The 22,334-nt window shown below is 43.4% G+C and overlaps 1 protein-coding gene across 5 annotated transcripts in view; it reads right to left on the reverse strand.

The window, feature by feature from the left end:
* The window catches only part of LNX1 (ligand of numb-protein X 1), a 193,177-nt gene that overhangs the window by 90,155 nt on the left and 80,688 nt on the right, over positions 1-22,334 (reverse strand). Inside the window, exon 1 of one of the 5 annotated variants that reach the window (NM_032622.3) lies at positions 8,419-8,756. The exons of the other annotated variants lie outside the window; for them this stretch is intronic. Within the exon in view, the coding sequence (NP_116011.2) occupies positions 8,419-8,510 (92 nt within the window). The 5' untranslated portion in view covers positions 8,511-8,756. Of the gene's footprint in view, positions 1-8,418; positions 8,757-22,334 lie in introns of those variants that run through there. 5 annotated transcript variants of the gene reach the window in all.

Raw genomic sequence — 22,334 nt, forward strand, 5'->3', positions numbered from 1 at the left:
GGAGGAGGTTGAAAGAAACTTAAGAGATGTGGCAACTAATTGCAACGTGTAGATTGTATTTAGCTCATGATTCACACAAACTAGATATTTGTTATTAAAGAATTATGGTTGTTTTTGGTGTGATATTAGTATTGTGCTCACATTTCTTAAGAATCTATCTTTAGAGATAGGTGCTGAAATTCTTGCAGATGAAATGACATTATCATCTGAGATGTGCTTCAAAAACAGTTAAAGGAGATATCGATAAGATGGCCTTGAATTCACAATTGCTGAAGATGGGTATAGGCCACATGGAGTTTTATTATAATCTTTTCTCTCCTTTTATATTGTTTGTAGTTTTCCATTATAAGTTAAAATGAAGAAAATAAGTCAACCAACATGAAGCGGTCAGTGAGATTCTTACGGACATCCCAGCTTTGCCTCTTATCCGCCTGACATAGTCATGGAACTAGAAAGACAAGCACAATTTGCCAAGCATCAGAGTGGCATCTTGAAACTGCTGGGTTTTGTTTAGGGTGGCCTCCCTAGGAGGAGAACACTTTGGACCAGGGAGTGAACAGCTTGGAACTGGAGTGGCTTTACTGCTGGCAAAAAAGAATTTGCTAATTCTCAAAGGGGGGAAAAAATAAAATCATGAAACAGGATCACAATGCTCTTTGGACATCAAAGAATCATTACAAAACAAGATTTTGGTGAGTTCAATGTAAATGAATGAGGGCCATGCGGCTTCAATTTCCTTCAAAATACACAAGTTTAAAAATTCAAGGAAAAATGCCCTGTTAAACATGTGCTGAACTGAAATGCTTCGAGAGTCATTGAGCCCAAATGGGCCCTGGCTTTGCCCCAAGACTGGATCTTGTTCCTGTTGGAATATGATTTCTCCAACATACCCCATTTCCTCTGTAAACTCTACCTCCTTCCTTCCAGGTCCTCGTCCAAATTCTACTTCAGATGCTCAAAACACAGGACAAGACAAATCCAGGGATCAGCAACACTTTTTTTTCCCCTTTTCAATTTTGATAAGAAAGAAACAAATTCTTGGAGACTCAATTTGGAAAACATTTGCTGGCAAATCCATAAAGCTCACCCTGTTGGTTTGAACTTTGAAAGTGTTGGGAATGGCTAACACAGTGAAAATGAAGTGGGGAGGAAATGGATGCTAAGGCAATCCACTGTATTCCACTCACTCCCGACTCATTCACCCCAGAAAAAATCCAACCATAATCATCTGGACCTTCCTGTGTGGATCTCCATTAGTATAAAGCTTTTTTAAAAAGGCACTTCCCCAGGTCCTGGAGTTCATGGCCCAATACCTGGCCCAGGTCTGACTGAAGTTAGTAGGCAGGAAAAGGAGCTACTAAGGGTGGTCTTGCCACACAGCCTTCACCTAGAGAAGGGGATACTGAAAAGCCAGACCAGGGCGTAATGGATAGATGGAAATAGATACAGAAAATGGAGGCAAGCAACCTCCCCACTTGAAAGCCTGGAACGCCCAGCTGGGTTTGATTTAAAGCTCTCTTTGGGCCTGTGAGCCCCAAAATGAATGTTCTTGTTGCATGAAGTCTGTGCAGTTTGTCAGAGGTGTATGTCGCAGGTTAGGTTAGAGTCAGTTAACCTAGGAGGCGGTTGGTGGTTGGAATCCTTGGTTCTAAGAGCTTGGTGTGTTCTGTGGCTCTGACTCCTGGGGCCTACCACATTTTGCAGGAAGGGCATACATAAGGCTGCCCATAACTCTTACCGCTTTTGGCAGTTTCTCCCCGAGGCCTCATCCTTCTGTTACAGTAGGTAGTTAGACAGACATGAGGCAGGGAAGGCCACCCTCCCCACAATGAGGAATGTCAGGCAACCATCAGGTGATGGTCAGGCAGTTGTTAATTGTCTCTCTAAAATAATCATTGGTTGAAGCCAGGGCCAGGCAGTTTCCCAATAAATAGAAAACACCTGAAACTGGTGATCAGCTTCCTAGTAAGATCTCAGGAGTTGGGTGAGTGGACTCAAGCATGCGCACTAAGAGGCAAAATGGCAGAGTTTAACTGGTATATGAATCCTCAACTGATAAGGAGAAAAAGCCCTCAAGTGAGCACGTACACAACTTCAGTAAACACACTGCGCACGCTCACCCCCCAAGTGCCTGAATGCCACTGTGGATGCGGACAGCCCACTCCAAGGGAAGAATCAGGGGAGAAGAGATGCAACCCCCCTGGAAGCATGCCAACATATGAAACACCAAGTCAAAGGTCAAACCACCCGGCTGATCTCAAGTCACCCGCTTGGCCCTCTTCTAAGTGTACTTCCTTTTGTTCCTGCTCTAAAGCTTTTTAATACACTTTTCACTCCTGCTCAAAAACTTGCCTTGGCCTCTCACCCTGCCTTATGACCCTTGGTTAAAAATTCTTTCTTTTGAGGTGTTAAGAATTGAGGTTGCTACAGATTTGCCACCAGTAACACTTCCATAGCCTTAGATGATTTAGGTTTCAAAATTGGAATTGCTCATTTTAATCTCTGGAGTACAAAACTCCAGTGGGAATAAGCTATCCCCACTTAGTACTACTATCTCTATAGGGATAAGAAAATAAAGTATAATTTTCTCTCCAGATTCTATAATGAATATTGTTCCTAGTGATTCCACTTACAAACCAAAAATATTTGACTCTAAGCTGGAAAGAGCGCATCATTTCCTGGCTTCCTGGGAAGTCAGTCACGCAGCTAGTGGCACCAGTTTCCAGGACTTGTCGTCCTCCAGTGACCCCGCCTAGCTGTCTTGTTGATAACTGTCTTCCTAAAATGAAGGGCAGGTACTTTGAAAAGCGAGTCCCAAACTAACTGTGCATCCACTCAAAGCTCACTCAGACTTTGTACCACAGGCAAGAGCAGGTCACACCATCAGAATATGGCACAAACGTGAGAATAATTTTCAAGGATGATAGGAACTAAAAGTTTTTAAAGTGGGAAGGAGATGAAAAAACTCCACTTTTCTGTAACTAGCTCATGAGGGTTTGGTGTGTGGAGAACGAAATGCACCACCAGTACTAGCACCACTCCACCAAATTCTAAGTTTTTTTCTTGGATTTTTGTTAAACTTAAATATTTAGGCTAGGCGCAGTGGCTCACGCCTGTAATTCCAGCACTTTGGGAGGCTGAGGTGGGTGGATCACCTGAGATCAGGAGTTCGAGACCAGCCTGACCAATATGGTGAAACCCCATCTCTACTAAAAATACAAAAATTAGCCAGACGTAGTGGCAGGTGCCTGTAGTCCCAGCTACTCGGGAGGCTGAGACAGGAGAATTGCTTGAACCCGGGAGATGGAGGTTGCAGTGAGCCAAGATGATGCCACTGTATTCCAGCCTGGGCAACAGAGCAAGACTCCATCTCAAAAAAAAAAAAAAAAAGACTTAAATATTTAAAGGAATGTTACAAAAGCCACAGGAGATGACTGACCAGCACAATGACAATCCCAGTTATTCAAGTACAGTGCTGCATCCTGAAACATCTGAGATGAGCCTAGCTTGTATCATTATGAGCAAGGTCAATATTCCCTTCCGTAGAAACCAACCAGGGTCTTCTTTATCACAGCTTGCAACATTTAGGAGTTGGCCAAGATATGAGGCAAATTCATTCAATTTGGTTTAACTTAATTCTGCCCTGACCTGTGCAGAAGCTGGCCATATGAACATTACTACAACCCGAGATCTCAGAACTCACAGGGTAGAAGTTCCTGATGCATATAGCACTGAGTGGGGACACAGAGAGGAGTGATAATTTTCAACAGGGAAAGTCAGGGTAAGTTGGCTTTCCAGCTGGAGTGAAGAGTTCTTAAACTGTAGTGCCCATACGGATCCCCTGGGGAGTTTGTCAAGAATGAAAATGGGGTGGCCTCATGAGAATCACCTGGAAGACTTAAGCATGAAAATGGATGGGCCCCCTCTCCCAAAGATTTTCATTTTAGTAGGTTTGATTTAGAGCCCTCCAAATCTGCATTTTGAAAACAAACTCCACCCCTACTTCTGATATGGGTGGTCCTCAGAACCTACACTGTTCTAAGGTTTTCATCTACAAGTCTCTCCACATGCAGGGCTGTAAATATAGGGCCAGAAAGATGAGAAGGCTGTTTCCATGCTCATGCCCATGATGCTGAAAGTTATTTTCCCAGATTCCCTTTGGGGTCTAGGAAATTCAAAAAGAATGTTCATGGAGGTCTGCGGATGAGGGCATGTGGGGAAAGAAAGCACTGTCACTCATTCTTAGGGCATGCTCTTTGTAGACCTCAGGGCTGTCCTAGATTCCCCATGCCCTGATCTATGGATTGGGACTCCACACCAAATACTCTGGTTTTAGGGTTATTCTGTCGGATTCACTGTCCTCTAGGTCAAGGCATCAGGTGACAATAAACATATTTAAAGAAGGAAAGGCCCTGGTATAAACACACCTGATAGCAATAACTTAAGCATACCCTGAGACTGACCCTGTATAGCAGACACACCTGCATGTGGTTCGGAGTTCCAAGCTAAGGAATCCGGGAGTAGCCAACCCGGAGGGTCATTCCTTATCTATGAGAAACAGCTTAGCCCCTAGCCTGTCCCAGGAAACGTGGGCTGTATAGGAGACGGATGACGTCCTTTCTTTTGGGTGAATGTTGCTAGGTGGAGACTGTTAGGGAGAGGGTCCTAAGCAAATATAAAATGCATGCCTTTTGCAAGCATTTGCAGTTCTGTCCAGCTCTCGCCATTGGACTATATGCAAGGGGTTTCTCCTGTCCAGCCCGCTGCCACTGGACTCTCTCCCCTATATGTAAGTCCCCAGTAAAACCCAGTGTCTCATTTGCCAGTTCTGGGTCTGCTCTTCATCCTTTTGAACCTGGTGTCTTTCCCACTGGAGTCAATAGGTGTTTGGCCCAACATTACGAATTGGTTTGGCCAAGTCGTTATAAACTATTGGCCCTCAAGGCCAAACCAGGCATGCCTAAGTGATCTGCTAAATTGGACACAGGGTTGTTGTTTTGTTTTAAATTGAATTTGAATGCTTTCAGGCATTATATATTCATTCTGCAGTTGGCCAGAGGCCTCACCATCTCCCTTTGTGTTATGCCCGAATGATACATGTTTTAAAATAATTCCTGGCTGGGCACAGTGGCTCACGCCTGTAATCCCAGCACTTTGGGAGGCCAAGGTGGGTGGATCACAAGGTCAGGAGTTCAAGACCAGCCTGGCCAATATGGTGAAACCCCTTCTCTACTAAAAATACAAAAATTAGCTGGGTGTGGTGGTGGGTGTCTGTAATCCCAGCTACTTGGGAGGCTGAGGCAGGAGAATCACTTAAACCCGGGAGGCGGAGGTTGCAGCTAGCTGAGATTGTACCATTGCACTCCAGCCTAGGCAACAGAGCGAGACTCTGTCTCAAAAAAAAAAAAAAAATCCTGCCTTGCCCCTGCAGGCATTTGACTTTGAGAAACCTGGGCCACATGCCAAATTTGAATCCATGTACTGGATTAGTTCCAGCGTCTGAGCTGGGCATGAACTCAGGAACACAAGAGTGCATTGCTGTTAGAGAGAAAGGAAAATCCAGGAGGGTCTGTGCATCTGGAAAAACAAGGAATACAGGGCAAGCTTCCCCCAGTGTCAGGAATCCAAAGCTCGGATAAAGGGTGGAGGAAGCCCAGCAGATCCCCCAAGCTCTGCCTGCTTTTGGGATCCTATGGCCCAGAGTAGGGAAGAGAAGGCCTCCATCTCGGACATGCAGGCATCACCCATCATTCCTGCTCCCAAGCGTGCTAAACTGGCCCAGCAGCCCTATTTACTGTTCCAAATGATAGTTTTTCAAGCTTTGGTGACAACCACAGCCAGCCCCTAACCTTTCCGCTGGTGCCACTTACCATCCCTGAAATACTTCCTCTTTCTACCCGTTTCTGCCTCATTCCTCTAAGCACTTCAAGATCCAGCTTAAACCCCCAACTCCTCTGGAAGCCTTCCCTGATCAATTTCACCAACATGGACAATCTCTACCTCCTCTCAACTTACTACCTACTCTACTTATAAATGACTTATTTCCATCTGCCTTGAATCATTGCTTATATCTCTTATGTGTATAAATTTCAGCTTCTCAATTAGACTGTCAACTCCTAGAAAGGAGGTACCATGCCTCAATTCTTATTGCCTGGATTCCTTAGAGAACATGACAGTACCTGAAATGTGTCACTAATTCACTGATTAATTATCCCCAGTAGCATCGGGGAACAGCTGCACAGAATTCTCTCACAAAGCATACACAGCAATTGGAAGCTTCTAAGAAAGTCAGATAAATGTGGAAACACCATCCTGGTAATGGTGATTCCTGGCAAAGTATGATTCCCTAGCATCATACTTTTATAGATTGCTTGTGTCCGTTCAGTTATTCAGCAAAAATGTTGCCTTTGATTTATGTACTTGTAGAAGAGAAAATTTTTAAGTGGTATAAGGACCTTCCTTCAATTAGGCTATAAAACTGAAAGTAAACAAATGGAAAGATTCCTCAATAGCAGGAATCTTTGTGTAGGAATAGCAGGAATCTGTAGTCAGTGGAGTGGTGGCCCCCAAAAGATGTCTACCCAGAACCTGTGAATGTGACCATATTTGGAACAAGGGTCTTGTAGATGCAATTAAGGATCTCAAGATAAGATTACCATGGAGTATCCAAGTAGGCCCTAAATCCAGTGATAAGTTTCCTTATAAGAAGAGGAGAAGGCAAAGAGAATTGAAGAGGACACTGAGGAGAAGGACATGTACAGACAGGTGGAGGCAGAGGTAGAGTTATGCAGCCACAAGCCAAGGAACACCTGCAGCACCCCCCTCCACAAAACTAGAAGAATGCAAGAAAGCATTCTCCCCTATAGCCTTCATAGGGAGCATGACCTTGCTGACACCTTGATTCCAAGCTTCTGGATGCCAGAACTGTGGGAGAATACATTTCTGTTGTTTTAAGACATCCAACTTGGGTTAATTCGTGACAGCAGCCCTAGGAAACCAACATAGCAACGAAGAAGGATAGCGCATGGGAATGGGTGGGCAGGGAAGAATATCATGGCACTGGATTTCAAAGATCCCAACCTCAGCATCCATTGAGAGAGGAATGAGCCTTTTCATAATCTCTGCCATTGTCTGTTTGTCTAGAAAAGCTTCTGCAAGGTCATTATTTCCTCAGAGATGCTCATGATTCAGATTTAAGCTAGACACTTTCTCTTGGATCCTGGAGTTATATTCCAATAAGATGGGACCAGATAATCCTGAAATGCAGAACAAATGATCACTTCCAAGAACCTAGCTGTATTTACCAAAGAGCATCTGCTGTGTTAGACAAATTGGCTGGTCCAGCTAATTACAAAGGAGGCACGGGCTACCACTACATAGTCATGGGTGGTAGCACTATCTAATGTGACCAGACAAGCTTTTCTGATCTGAACTCTATGAACTCTATTTAAAGTCTCTGTTTTCATTTGCCCACTGACTGTAATTTACACATAAGCCAACTCTTGCTATTTTTCCCGTCTGGTTAGGTTCATAAGGAGGAATACATTTTTGCAAATGTTCCAAACACAAGGCACACACAGCAACACTTTTCATATGATTGCTAGAAGTCATTCACATTAGTCTATAATCCTTATTGAAAGCTTACTAACAAAAGGAGCTGGAAAAATATCACTAGAGGTTGGTGACATGAGGCATTTCCTTGCATAAAATGGACATGTGTCATGTAGGAAATTGTCTTTATTTTTCAGAGATGCACAATGATGTATTTAGGGGTGATATGTCATGATGGCTACAATTTGCTCCAGACCATTGCAGCAAGAAATATATGAAGCAAATGTGGCAAAATGTTAACCCATTAAATCAAGGCAATGGAAATATGGGTGCTCAAGGCATGTTTCTTCGTATCCCATAGGTTTCAAAAGCATCAAAAATAAAAATAACATGGATATATACATTTTATACATAGGGTTCTTTTTTTACTGATACTATACCTGTTTTCAGGTATAGAGACTGTCTCAATAAAGGGACGATGCCTGCTTGCAATTATAAATACCCAATAGAGGCAGCAGATCTATGCATACAAATTCTATTCTTAACTGCTCTTCAGTTCTATTTACGGAAGGAAGAGAAGTTACATCTATTGAGGAAAAAGAGTACCCCAAAAAAGCAGCACTGACACTGAAGCAGGAAAAAAAAATGCCTTATTGAGAAAGTACTGCATCTGTTAATATGGGGCTTTTTTGTTAAGTCACAGACAGCTAAGCATGCCGTTTTAAACTGCTGGCAGGGTGCTTTGTCCAAGTGCATCTAGTATGTGTGGAATTTAAAATGGATATATCAGCTAGGGAATGGACTCGGGTCCCACCCCCAACATACTAGGCACATAAACACACAGGCACGGACAGAGAGGGGACTCACAGTTCTGAATACAGGAAGTGCAGGTTGCCCACATTGTCAATGTAGTTAGCAGGACTGAGCCAAGGCAAGACCAGCAACAGAAGCGCCTTCATTCTCCGAGCAGTGTGCTGCCTTCTCCCTGGCCACCTTCTGTCAGCTACAAGGGCCCAAACCAGCCAAGCTCCTTTAAGCAAACCTTGCCATGCCCCCACAATCAGTAGATCACAAAGAATTTGACTGAGAACCTTCAGATTAAGCCACGTTAATAAATCACGGGCCCGTAAGAAGATTATGCTCTCTGATTCTCAGATGAGAGGATGTAGGAACGCAAGGAGCCACCACGGTTGGCGAGAGAGCTTAGGCTGAGAGCAGGCAAGCTGATGCCCAGGAAAGGAACCAGCCCCTCCTGCAGGATGCGGACTGGTTCTTGGGAAGCAGCTGGTACATTTACATCACCGGCTGGGAGCAGACAGGCTGGGAGTTAAAATGTGTTGGAAGAGGACATGAGCATGACACATTCAGACCCCACGGTGTGAATAATTAAATAATGAAAAGCTGCCCTCCAGTTTGCTATAGCGACACTGTAAGAAATTCCCATCTTTGGAGCAGCCTGGAGAGCTGAGCTTAAAGCAAGCATTCACATATTCAGTGGCTGAAATATGAACCAACCCCACCTTCCTCCAGCACCCATCACTGTCTTGACTGCACTGACATATGAAAGAGATGTGACAGTGACAGCTTCCTCGCTAATTTTGAAATCTGGCTCTCGAGAAGAATAGGCTGTGCCATTCTCTGTCAGAATAACAAAGAGCCTGGATAGACATAAAGTTCTGTCCAAACAATGTACAGGTTCCTGTTTGGTGAGGAAATGAGTCACTCCATTCTTCCTTCTCCCTGGGGGGAATGAATTGAGCTCTGAAATCAGCTGTATGACACTTGTTTCATTTAAGCTCTCAAGCCTCAGTCACCTTACCTTTGAAATGGAGCTAATTATGCCTTACCTACCTGGTCTGTCAGGGACTGGGCCACATCCCCTCTTCCAGCTTTAAGATCTGGGATTTGAGACTGCATCACCGGCCTCAACACTAAGACTTCTTTGCAGGCCTAAGCTCTGGAATGCCACAGAAGCCCCCAGGACTCTCGCTTACCCCATATTCAAGAAGATTAAATTCCATTTTGCCAACTCAAGACCAGAATCTTAATAGAAATGGCTCGAAGGGATAATTACATTCATCACATTAATGACAGCCAAGCCATGATAGCAAACTCCACTCCACAGGAAGTAGACCAGAGAAAAGTCTACAGGATGAGACGAGTTGCAATGAACTGCGTAGTCATTAGGAATTTGGCATCAGAGGCAGGGCTAAAGAGTTTAAATACAGAAGACTCTTAGAATGTGCAGATTTAATTTCTACAGTTTAAAGTGCAGATGAACAACCTTGATAAAACATGGGATATAATAATTCATGATTTTGTTGAGGTCCAAATTGGAATTCTATTCTCTGTAAGGCTGCTCTGCAAGAGTGAGTCAGAGCTCATGGAAAGCAGTAGAAAGAAGTTAGGTTTGATATGTAGGTGCTGGGGTTAGAGAAGCTTGAGGTTAGAGTTCTAGCTCTGCTGCATACTAGCTGTATGACAGTAGGCATGTTTGGTTAACCTCTCTGAACTTTCATGTCCTCCCCTGTAAAAGAAAGACAATAGTAATAGTGCTTAACTCAGAGTGCTAGTAAGAAGGTGAAATGAGGCAATGCCCATAAACAACAAAGGGCTTAACGAGTATTAGCTTAATGTTATTGTATTTTATTTTTTTCAGAGATGGGGGTCTTGCTCTGTCACCCAGGCTGTAGTGCTGTGTCACAATTATACCTCACTGCAGTGGTGAACTCCTGGGCTCAAGCAATCCTCCTGCCTCAGCCTCCCAAGTAGCTGGGACTACAGGTGCGTGCCGCCATGCCTGGCTAAAAAAAAAAAAAAAAATTAAAATCTTTTTCAGAGATGAGGGTCCCTCTATGTTGCCCAGGCTGGTCTTGAACTTTTGGCCTCAAGCAATATTCCTGCCTCAACCTTCAAGTAGCTAGGATTACAGGTGCAAGCCACTGCACCTGGGTCTACTGTTACTAATAACTATTAGCGATAGTGAATGAGCCTACTTGGAAGCTTAACAGCTATCTCCAAGAGGTTTTGTTATTCTTTTCTTATCCCTTCTTTCCTCCTATACTATTAGAGAAGTGACATGTTATAGTCTTATCCTAAATATGGAGTTTCACAAAGTCCTGAAACATGCTCTTCTTGGATGTCCACGACCTCCTATATAGATCAGAACTCTTAAGTAGCATGATGTATTATAAAGGTTGTGGACTTCATATTGGTATTGGATTGTATTTCTGACGATCTTGGACATGTCAGATTGCTTCTGACATTTGATACATCTTTTATTAAAAAAGGATGACTGCCCATTCACCACCTTGCATTTAAAGGGGATGAAATTAATTAATTAATGTGACTGCAATATAAACATGAATGTAAGGTTTTCTGTTGTTTTTTATGTTGCTATTGCAACCACTGCTGGTTGCCTATCAAATATTTAACCTCCCCTTCTTCCTTATAACAGAACCCAGGTTTTATTTATGCTGTTACTACATGTAGACCCTCTCACAGATGGGCATCTGTATAACACAATAGTGACTAATGAGGTATGAGTAGAAATTACTGGGTAAGGCATCTCAGAAGGCTCTTTAAAGGAAGGTGTCTCCATTGGCACATTGTATTTTTCCCTGCCTGCCTAATTCTTTCTGCCTGGAACTTGTACATAACACTGAAGCATGCAGCCATTTGAGACCATGAGGTGACAAACTTGAGGATGAAAACTGAACCGATTCCTGCTGGCATCATGTCATGGCAAAATCATAGTAATCCTGGGCTTCCTACCCTTAGACTTTGTATTACATGAGAAAAACAAAACTTCTACCTGGTTAAACCAATATAACACAATTTTCCATTACCTGCCATCTGATGTAATCCTAATTAATACAATCCCTTGGGGCTAAAACCCAACCTCAAATGAACAGAGATTGCTCCATGGCTTCCTTGCCGGTAAACAGCCCTAACTCTAATCTTTGCCCTATTCTTTGCCTGGCTGTCCTGTTTATCCTTAAATGTTATCTCAGATATCACTGATTATCTCCTATTTTCTTGCTTCTTTTCTTTTCACTAAACAAGGTTTATTTAGGGGCCAGGAAAATGTTGGGTTCAGAGTTAGAAGGTCACAGTAAGGATGTATGTCAAAGCACAATTATTATGAGATGCTTAGTCTGGCTAAAATGACCAGCAAGACTAATACATGCTTACTTTTCATAGGTAATAGTCCCCTGTATTTCTTTTCTTTTCTTTTTTTGAGATGGAGTCTCATTCTGTCACCAGACTGGAGTGCAATGGGGCGATCTTGACTCATTGCAACCTCCGCCTCCCAGGTTCAAACGATTCTCCTGCCTCAGCCTCCCGAGTAGCTGGGACTACAGGCATGCACCACCACACCCAGCTAATTTTTCTATTTTTAGTAGAGATGGGGTTTCACTGTGTTGGCCATGATGGTCTTGATCTCCTGATCTCATGATCCGCCCACGTCATCCTCCCAAAGTGCTGGGATTACAAGCTTGAGCCACTGTGCCTGGCCCTCCGTGTATTTTTTCTTTCAATAAAGTCTTCCCCACTTTGTAGACAGCTAGCTGTGTTGTCCTGAACACACTACCCTGGATGGAAGTAAAGGTCAACAGACGATCCAGGTTAGACCTTTGGAGAAGAAACTCCCAGGACACTGGATGCAAAGTTAATCCGGAAAATATTCCCAGCCAGCCTTCAGCCACGTATGTCTTGGGCCAATTACATCACGTTTTCATTCACAGCTCATTTCAAATTATTGAACAATGAACTCTGTATTCATACTAGTAAATACTTGAGGAGGGTCAGTTTTATTATCTTCCATTTTTAGAAAATAAGAGAGTAGGTGCAGCAAACCATCATGACACACATACACCTATGTAACAAACCTGAACGTTCTGTACGTGTATCCCAGAATTAAAAAAAAGGAAAAAGGAGAGAAAGTAAAGGGCAAAGTGAGTTGTCCTATGAAACAATTCACGTATGTTTTCAACTTCTCTCTTTTACCTTTAAAAGGTCATTTCCTTAGAGGCAGAAATCACAACTTATTTTTCTTTCATTCAGGGCCTGACCTATTGTGAATCCTTGCTAAATACTGTGTATGCAGATGATGAGATTACAAAATGGAAATGTGGTCTTGAGCCTAAAATAAGTCTCGCTCAGGATCAAGAAGTAAAAGCTTGGCTTCCACACACCTTCTCATTGAAAGTCTGGGTCAAGAGAGATGAGCAGATGGGCCCTCTCCAGGGGCCCCACTACACACTGGTAATGGCCTCCAGTTAGGAAGGCTGCCATTCAACTCAATAAGTCCATCACCACCCTGGGAATTCTCTACAGTAGACCCATGTGATGGGAGTCTGTAAGCATCTAAGAGGGCAGAAATCAACAGAATTAGCCAGAAGTTTCCAACTGCTAGCTCCAAACTCAGACTTATTCCCATAAAAGAGCTCTCTAGTCTGAAGACAATCAATGATCTAGCCAGTCATGCATACCTACAGCCAGTCCTAAATGTTTTGCTCAAGTATTTATATTTAGTAGACAAGTATTGTTTACAAATGAAACGCATTCTGGAGAAAACAGGCACCAGCTGTTTAAAGATGTGATTCTGTCTGCCTGTACCCTGACTTAAGTCTCCTGTTGGGCAACAGGTGCAGAAATTTCAGTTAGACAGGAGGCATAAATTCAGGAGATTATTTGTACAACGAGGTGATTATAGTTAATAACAATGTATTGTGCAGTAGAAAATTACTAAGTGAGTACATTTTAAGTGTTTTCATCACAAAAATGGTACATATATGAGGTAATGCATGTTGATTGGCTTGCTTTAGCCATTTCACAATATATACATATTTTAAAACATCATATTGTACACCATACACATATACAATATGTATTTGTCAATTAAAAAAATAAAATTTGGGCCTGGCACAATGGCTCAAGCCCGTAATCCCAGAACTTTGGGAGGCCGAGACGGATCACGAGGTCAGGAGATCGAGACCATTCTGGCTAACATGGTAAAAACCTGTCTCTACTTAAAATACAAAAAATTAGCCGGGCATGGTGGTGGGCACCTGTATTCCCAGCTACTCGGGAGGCTGAGGCAGGAGAATGGCATGAATCCCGGAGGCAGAGCTTGCAGTGAGCTGAGATCGTGCCAGCCTGGGCGACAGAGTGAGATTCCAACTCAAAATAAATAAATAAGTAAATAAAATTTAAAACAATTTTATTTAGATGCATATTTATTGAGTAAAGTGATGTTAAAGATCAAGCAAACCAATGCAAAATTTATAAACAAAAGCTATGACAAGACTCCCATACAAGCAGCCACCAGCCTGGAGGCCTCACAGAGAAAAGTAAACACTTGCCTGTTAGTTTTCTAAATTCAAGGGTCTCCAGAGGTATTAACTACTTCTTAAGTATTCTTCTTAATATCCCTCCTAAGGGGAGTAAGAGGGGGGCCTACTGGCCCATCACAGACCCAAAGGCCAAGAGAGATCCACAGTCTGGTTCTAGGTTAGCTTCAAATTCTTTTTTTTTTTTTTTGAGACAGAGTCTCGCTCTGTCACCCAGGCTGGAGTACAGTGGTGTGATCTCAGCTCACTGCAACCTCTGCCTCCCAGGTTCAAGCGATTCTCCTGCCTCAGCCTCCCGAGTAGCTGGGATTACAGGCATCTGTCACCACGCCTGGTTAATTTTTGAATTTTTGGTAGAGACGGGGTTTCACCATTTTGGTCAGGCTGGTCTTGAACTCCTGACCTCGTGATCCACCCGCCTCGGCCTCCCAAAGTGCTGGGATTACAGGCATGGGCCACTGCACCTGGCCAGGTTAACTTCAAATTCTTAATCCTTGCCAATAAAATGTCAAGGGGGTGGGAGGCGAAGGAATGTATATCAGGCATATGGTGACTAATACATACAACATATTTGTGGAAATGTTGGTTTCAACCTACTTAGGAAGCAGAAGTGTGGAGGCTTGAGAGCATGTGTTGAGGCCCACGCCTCCCTGATGTGGGGGCATCCTCTCCAGAGAGCTGCTGTGGGCGCCTGTGAAGGACTCACTCACAGGGTGCAGCTTAAAAAGGTGACTCACTTTCAGTCAGTTTTGGTTTCTCTCCTCACTGCTGTTTTCCAAAAGTGCATCTCATTATGAGCTGAGTGTTCATCAAGCCTCTATCTCAGGCTTCCTTGAGGTGTGTGGGGGTCACACGGGCTGCATGGGCTAAGGGTGAATGAAATTCCCAGTCTGCTTCAGGCAGCTGAGGGGCACCTGTGTCATCTTTCTCCTGAAGACCTCACAGAGTTCCAACAGCCACCTGCTAGCCCTTCCCCTTCCCCACATCCCTTCTGGCTTCACCCTCAGATCCACACACCATCTTCTCCCTATTTTTAGAAAAACTCTCAGACCCCAAACAGTCCTGGATGAGGGGATGAGGAGGAGTGGCTGGGTTTTCACTTTCTCCCCAGAGGATGACTCCAGTGCTGTCTTCTGTCTCCCCACTCTTACTCCTGGGGTGGGCAGAATAATTATTCCCCAGAGATGTCCAGCTCCTAATCCTCAGAACCTCTGAGTATGTCACTTCATATGGCAAAAGGGACTTTGCAGATGTAATTAAGAATCTTTTGGGGAGGAGCCAAGATGGCCGAATAGGAACAGCTCTGGTCTACAGCTCCCAGCCTGAGCGACACAGAAGACGGGTGATTTCTGCATTTCCATCTGAGGTACCGGGTTCATCTCACTAGGGAGTGCCAGACAGTGGGCGCAGGTCAGTGGGTGCGCGCACCCTGCGCCAGCCGAAGCAGGGCGAGGCATTGCCTCACTTGGGAAGCGCAAGGAGTCAGGGAGTTAGTTCCCTTTCCTAATCAAAGAAAGGGGTGACAGACAGCACCGGGAAAATCAGGTCACTCCCACCCGAATACTGCGCTTTTCCGACGGGCTTAAAAAATGGCGCACCACGAGATTATATCCCCCACCTGGCTCGGAGGGTCCTACCCCACGGAGTCTCGCTGATTGCTAGCACAGCAGTCTGAGATCAAACTGCAAGGTGGCAGCGAGGCTGGGGGAGGGGCGCCTACCATTGCCCAGGCTTGATTAGGTAAACAAAGCATCCTGGAAGCTCGAACTGGGTGGAGCCCACCACAGCTCAGGGAGGCCTGCCTGCCTCTGTAGGCTCCACCTCTGGGGGCAGGGCACAGACAAACAAAAAGACAGCAGTAACCTCTGCAGACTTAAGTGTCCCTGTCTGACAGCTTTGAAGAGAGCAGTGGTTCTCCCAGTACGCAGCTGGAGATCTGAGAATGGGCAGACTCCCTCCTCAAGTGGGTCCCTGACCCCTGACCCCCGAGCAGCCTAACTGGGAGGCACCCTCCAGCAGGGGCACACTGACACCTCACACTGCAGGGTACTCCAACAGACCTGCAGCTGAGGGTCCTGTCTGTTAGAAGGAAAACTAACAAACAGAAAGGACATCCACACCAAAAACCCATCTGTACATCACCATCATCAAAGACCAAAAGTAGATAAAACCACAAAGATGGGGAAAAAACAGAACAGAAAAACTGGAAACTCTAAAAATCAGAGCGCCTCTCCTCCTCCAAAGGAACGCAGCTCCTCACCAGCAACAGAACAAAGCTGGACAGAGAATGACTTTGACGAGCTGAGAGAAGAAGGCTTCAGACGATCAAATTACTCTGAGCTACGGGAGGACATTCAAACCAAAGGCAAAGAAGTTGAAAACTTTGAAAAAAATTTAGAAGAATGTATAACTAGAATAACCAATACAGAGAAGTGCTTAAAGGAGCTGATGGAGCTGAAAACCAAGGCTCGAGAACTACGTGAAGAATGCAGAAGCCTCAGGAGCCGACGTGATCAACTGGAAGAAAGGGTATCAGCAATGGAAGATGAAATGAATGAAATGAAGCGAGAAGGAAAGTTTAGAGAAAAAAGAATAAAAAGAAACGAGCAAAGCCTCCAAGAAATATGGGACTATGTGAAGAGACCAAATCTACGTCTGATTGGTGTACCTGAAAGTGATGGGGAGAATGGAACCAAGTTGGAAAACACTCTGCAGGATATTATCCAGGAGAACTTCCCCAATCTAGCAAGGCAGGCCAACGTTCAGATTCAGGAAATACAGAGAACGGCACAAAGATACTCCTGGAGAAGAGCAACTCCAAGACACATAATTGTCAGATTCACCAAAGTTGAAATGAAGGAAAAAATGTTAAGGGCAGCCAGAGAGAAAGGTCGGGTTACCCTCAAAGGGAAGCCCATCAGACTAACAGCGGATCTCTCTGCAGAAACCCTACAAGCCAGAAGAGAGTGGGGGCCAATATTCAACATTCTTAAAGAAAAGAATTTTCAATCCAGAATTTCATATCCAGCCAAACTAAGCTTCAGAAGTGAAGGAGAAAGAAAATACTTTACAGACAAGCAAATGCTGAGAGATTTTGTCACCACCAGGCCTGCCCTAAAAGAGCTCCTGAAGGAAGCGCTAAACATGGAAAGGAACAACCGGTACCAGCCGCTGCAAAATCATGCCAAAATGTAAAGACCATCGAGACTAGGAAGAAACTGCATCAACTAACGAGCAAAATAACCAGCTAACATCATAATGACAGGATCAAATTCACACATAACACTATTAACTTTACATGTAAATGGACTAAATGCTCCAACTAAAAGACACAGACTGGCAAATTGGATAAAGAGTCAAGACCCATCAGTGTGCTGTATTCAGGAAACCCATCTCATGTGCAGAGACACACATAGGCTCAAAATAAAAGGATGGAGGAAGATCTACCAAGCAAATGGAAAACAAAAAAAGGCAGGGGTTGCAATCCTAGTCTCTGATAAAACAGACTTTAAACCAACAAAGATCAAAAGAGACAAGGCCATTACATAATGGTAAAGGGATCATTTCAACAAGAAGAGCTAACTATCCTAAATATATATGCATCCAATACAGGAGCACCCAGATTCATAAAGCAAGTCCTGAGTGACCTGCAAAGAGACTTAGACTCCCACACATTAATAATGGGAGACTTTAACACCCCACTGTCAACATTAGACAGATCAACGAGACAGAAAGTCAACAAGGATACCCAGGAATTGAACTCAGCTCTGCACCAAGCGGACCTAATAGACATCTACAGAACTCTCCACCCCAAATCAACAGAATATACATTTTTTTCAGCACCACACCACACCTATTCCAAAATTGACCACATAGTTGGAAGTAAAGCTCTCCTCAGCAAATGTAAAAGAACAGAAATTATAACAAACTATCTCTCAGACCACAGTGCAATCAAACTAGAACTCAGGATTAAGAATCTCACTCAAAACCACTCAACTACATGGAAACTGAACAACCTGCTCCTGAATGACTACTGGGTACATAACGAAATGAAGGCAGAAATAAAGATGTTCTTTGAAACCAATGAGAACAAAGACACAACATACCAGAATCTCTGGGACGCATGCAAAGCAGTGTGTAGAGGGAAATTTATAGCACTAAGTGCCCACAAGAGAAAGCAGGAAAGATCTAAAATTGACACCCTAACATCACAATTAAAAGAACTAGAAAAGCAAGAGCAAACACATTCCAAAGCTAGCAGAAGGCAAGAAATAACTAAAATCAGAGCAGAACTGAAGGAAATAGAGACACAAAAAACCCTTCAAAAAATTGATGAATCCAGGAGCTGGTTTATTGAAAGGATCAACAAAATTGATAGACTGCTAACAAGACTAATAAAGAAAAAAAGAGAGAAGAATCAAATAGATGCAATAAAAAATGATAAAGGGGATATCACCACCGATCCCACAGAAATACAAACTACCATCAGAGAATACTACAAACACCTCTATGCAAATAAACTAGAAAATCTAGAAGAAATGGATAAATTCCTTGACACATACACTCTCCCAAGACTAAACCAGGAAGAAGTTGAATCTCTGAATAGACCAATAACAGGATCTGAAATTGTGGCAATAATCAGTAGCTTACCAACCAAAAGGAGTCCAGGACCAGATGGATTCACAGCCGAATTCTACCAGAGGTACAAGGAGGAACTGGTACCATTCCTTCTGAAACTATTCCAATTGATAGAAAAAGAGGGAATCCTCCCTAACTCATTTTATGAGGCCAGCTTCATTCTGATACCAAAGCCGGGCAGAGACACAACCAAAAAAGAGAATTTTAGACCAATATCCTTGATGAACATTGATGCAAAAATCCTCAATAAAATACTGGCAAACCAAATCCAGCAGCACATCAAAAAGCTTATCCACCATGATCAAGTGGGCTTCATCCCTGGGATGCAAGGCTGGTTCAATATACGCAAATCAATAAATGTAATCCAGCATATAAACAGAGCCAAAGACAAAAACCACATGATTATCTCAATAGATGCAGAAAAGGCCTTTGATAAAATTCAACAACCTTTCATGCTAAAAACTCTCAATAAATTAGGTATTGATGGGACATATTTCAAAATAATAAGAGCTATCTATGACAAACCTACAGCCAATATCATACTGAATGGGCAAAAACTGGAAGCATTCCCTTTGAAAACGGGCACAAGACAGGGGGGCACAAGACAGGGATGCCCTCTCTCACCACTCCTATTCAACATAGTGTTGGAAGTTCTGGCCAGGGCAATTAGGCAGGAGAAGGAAATAAAGGGTATTCAATTAGGAAAAAAGGAAGTCAAATTGTCCCTGTTTGCAGATGACATGATTGTATATCTAGAAAACCCCATTGTCTCAGCCCAAAATCTCCTTAAGCTGATAAGCGACTTCAGCAAAGTCTCAGGACACAAAATCAATGTGCAAAAATCACAAGCATTCTTATACACCAATAACAGACAAACAGAGAGCCAAATCATGAGTGAACTCCCATTCACAATTGCTTCAAAGAGAATAAAATACCTAGGAATCCATCTTACAAGGGATGTGAAGGACCTCTTCAAGGAGAACTACAAACCACTGCTCAAGGAAATAAAAGAGGATACAAACAAATGGAAGAACATTCCATGCTCATGGGTAGGAAGAATCAATATCGTGAAAATGGCCATACTGCCCAAGGTAATTTACAGATTCAGTGCCATCCCCATCAAGCTACCAATGCCTTTCTTCACAGAATTGGAAAAAACTACTTTAAAGTTCATATGGAACCAAAAAAGAGCCCCCATTGCCAAGTCAATCCTAAGCCAAAGGAACAAAGCTGGAGGCATCACACTACCTGACTTCAAACTATACTACAAGGCTACAGTAACCAAAACAGCATGGTACTGGTACCAAAACAGAGATATAGATCAATGGAACAGAACAGAGCCCTCAGAAATAACGCCGCATATCTACAACTATCTGATCTTTGACAAACCTGAGAAAAACAAGCAATGGGGAAAGGATTCCCTATTTAATAAATGGTGCTGGGAAAACTGGCTAGCCATATGTAGAAAGCTGAAACTGGATCCCTTCCTTACACCTTATACAAAAATCAATTCAAGATGGATTAAAGACTTAAACGTTAGACCTAAAACCATAAAAACCCTAGAAGAAAACCTAGGCATTACCATTCAGGACATAGGCATGGGCAAGGACTTCATGTTTAAAACACCAAAAGCAATGGCAACAAAAGACAAAATTGAGAAATGGGATCTAATTAAACTAAAGAGCTTCTGCACAGCAAAAGAAACTACCATCAGAGTGAACAGGCAACCTACAAAATGGGAGAAAATTTTTGCAACCTACTCATCTGACAAAGGGCTAATATCCAGAATCTACAATGAACTCAAACAAATTTACAAGAAAAAAACAAACAACCCCATCAAAAAGTGGGCGAAGGACATGAACAGACACTTCTCAAAAGAAGACATTTATGCAGCCAAAAAACACATGAAAAAATGCTCACCATCACTGGCCATCAGAGAAATGCAAATCAAAACCACAATGAGATACTATCTCACACCAGTTAGAATGGCGATCATTGAAAAGTCAGGAAAGAACAGGTGGTGGAGAGGATGTGGAGAAATACGAACACTTTTACACTGTTGGTGGGACTGTAAACTAGTTCAACCATTGTGGAAGTCAGTGTGGCGATTCCTCAGGGATCTAGAACTAGAAATACCATTTGACCCAGCCATCCCATTACTGGGTATATACCCAAAGGACTATAAATCATGCTGCTATAAAGACACATGCACACGTATGTTTATTGCGGCATTATTCACAATAGCAAAGACTTGGAACCAACCCAAATGTCCAACAATGATAGACTGGATTAAGAAAATGTGGCACATATACACCATGGAATACTATGTAGCCATAAAAAATGATGAGTTCATGTCCTTTGTAGGGACATGGATGAAATTGGAAACCATCATTCTCAGTAAACTATCACAAGAACAAAAAACCAAATACCGCATATTCTGACTCATAGGTGGGAATTGAACAATGAGATCACATGGACACAGGAAGGGGAACATCACACTCTGGGGACTGTTGTGGGGTGGGGGGAGGGGGGAGGGATAGCATTGGGCGATATACCTAATGCTAAATGACGAGTTAGTGGGTGCAGCACACCAGCATGGCACATGTATACGTATGTAACTAACCTGCGTAATGTGCACATGTACCCTAAAACTTAAAGTATAATAATAAATAAATAAATAAATAAATAAATAAATAAAAGAAAAATATTTACATCTTGCATATTTTCAAAAAAAAAGAATCTTTTGGCTGGGCGTGGTGGCTCACGCCTGTAATCCCAGCACTTTGGGAGGCTGAGGCGGGCGGATCACGAGGTCAGGAGATCGAGACCATCCTGGCTAACACAGTGAAAACCCGTCTCTACTAAAAGCACAAAAAATTAGCTGTGCGTGGTGGTGGGCACCTGTAGTCCCAACTACTCTGGAGGCTGAGACAGGAGAAAGGCATGAACCCGGGAGGCCGAGCTTGTGGTGAGCAGAGATCGCGCCACTGCACTCCAACCTGGGCGACAGAGCCAGACTCCGTCTAAAAAAAAAAAAAAAGAATCTTTTTTTTTTTGAGATGGAGTCTCGCTCTGTCACCTAATCTTGGCTTACTGGCAGCCTCTGCCTCCTGGGTTCAAGTGATTCTCATGCCTCAGCCTCCCAAGTAGCTGGGATTACAGGCTTGGGCCACCATGCCCAGCTAATTTTTATATTTTTAGTAGAGACAGGGTTTCACTATGTTAGCCAAATTGGTCTCAAACTCCTGATCTCAAGTGATCTGCCTGCCTCCGCCTCCCAAGTGCTGGGATTACAGGTGTGAGCCTCCATGCCCCGCGTAAATTAAGAATCTTGAGATGAAGGAGCCATCTTGGATTATCCAGGTGGGCCCAAGGTAATCACATGAGTTCTTATAGGAGGGAGGCAGGAGTCTCAGAGTCACAGAAGGAGATGTGAGGATGGAAGCAGAGGCCAGAGAGAGCCTGGAAGATGCTATGCGGCTGGCTCTGAAGATGGAAGAGGAGGCCACGAGCCAAGGAAGACAGGCAGCACTAGAAGCTGGAAGAGGCAAGGAAAGGGATTCTCCCCTGAAGCCAACAGGAATGCTACCCTGCTGACACCTCAATGTTAGTCCACCGAGATGTACGTTAGACCTCTGACCCTCAAAACTGTATGGTAACAAATTTGTTTTTTTCTTTTTTTGAGACAGTCTCACTTTGTCACTTAGGCTGGAGTGCAGTAGCGCATCACAGCTCACTTCACCCTCAACTCCCAGGCTCAAGCAATCCTCCCACCTTAGCCCCCTGAAT

Source organism: Homo sapiens, chromosome 4 (genome assembly GCF_000001405.40).
Source record: "Homo sapiens chromosome 4, GRCh38.p14 Primary Assembly".
Lineage (NCBI taxonomy): Eukaryota > Metazoa > Chordata > Mammalia > Primates > Hominidae > Homo > Homo sapiens.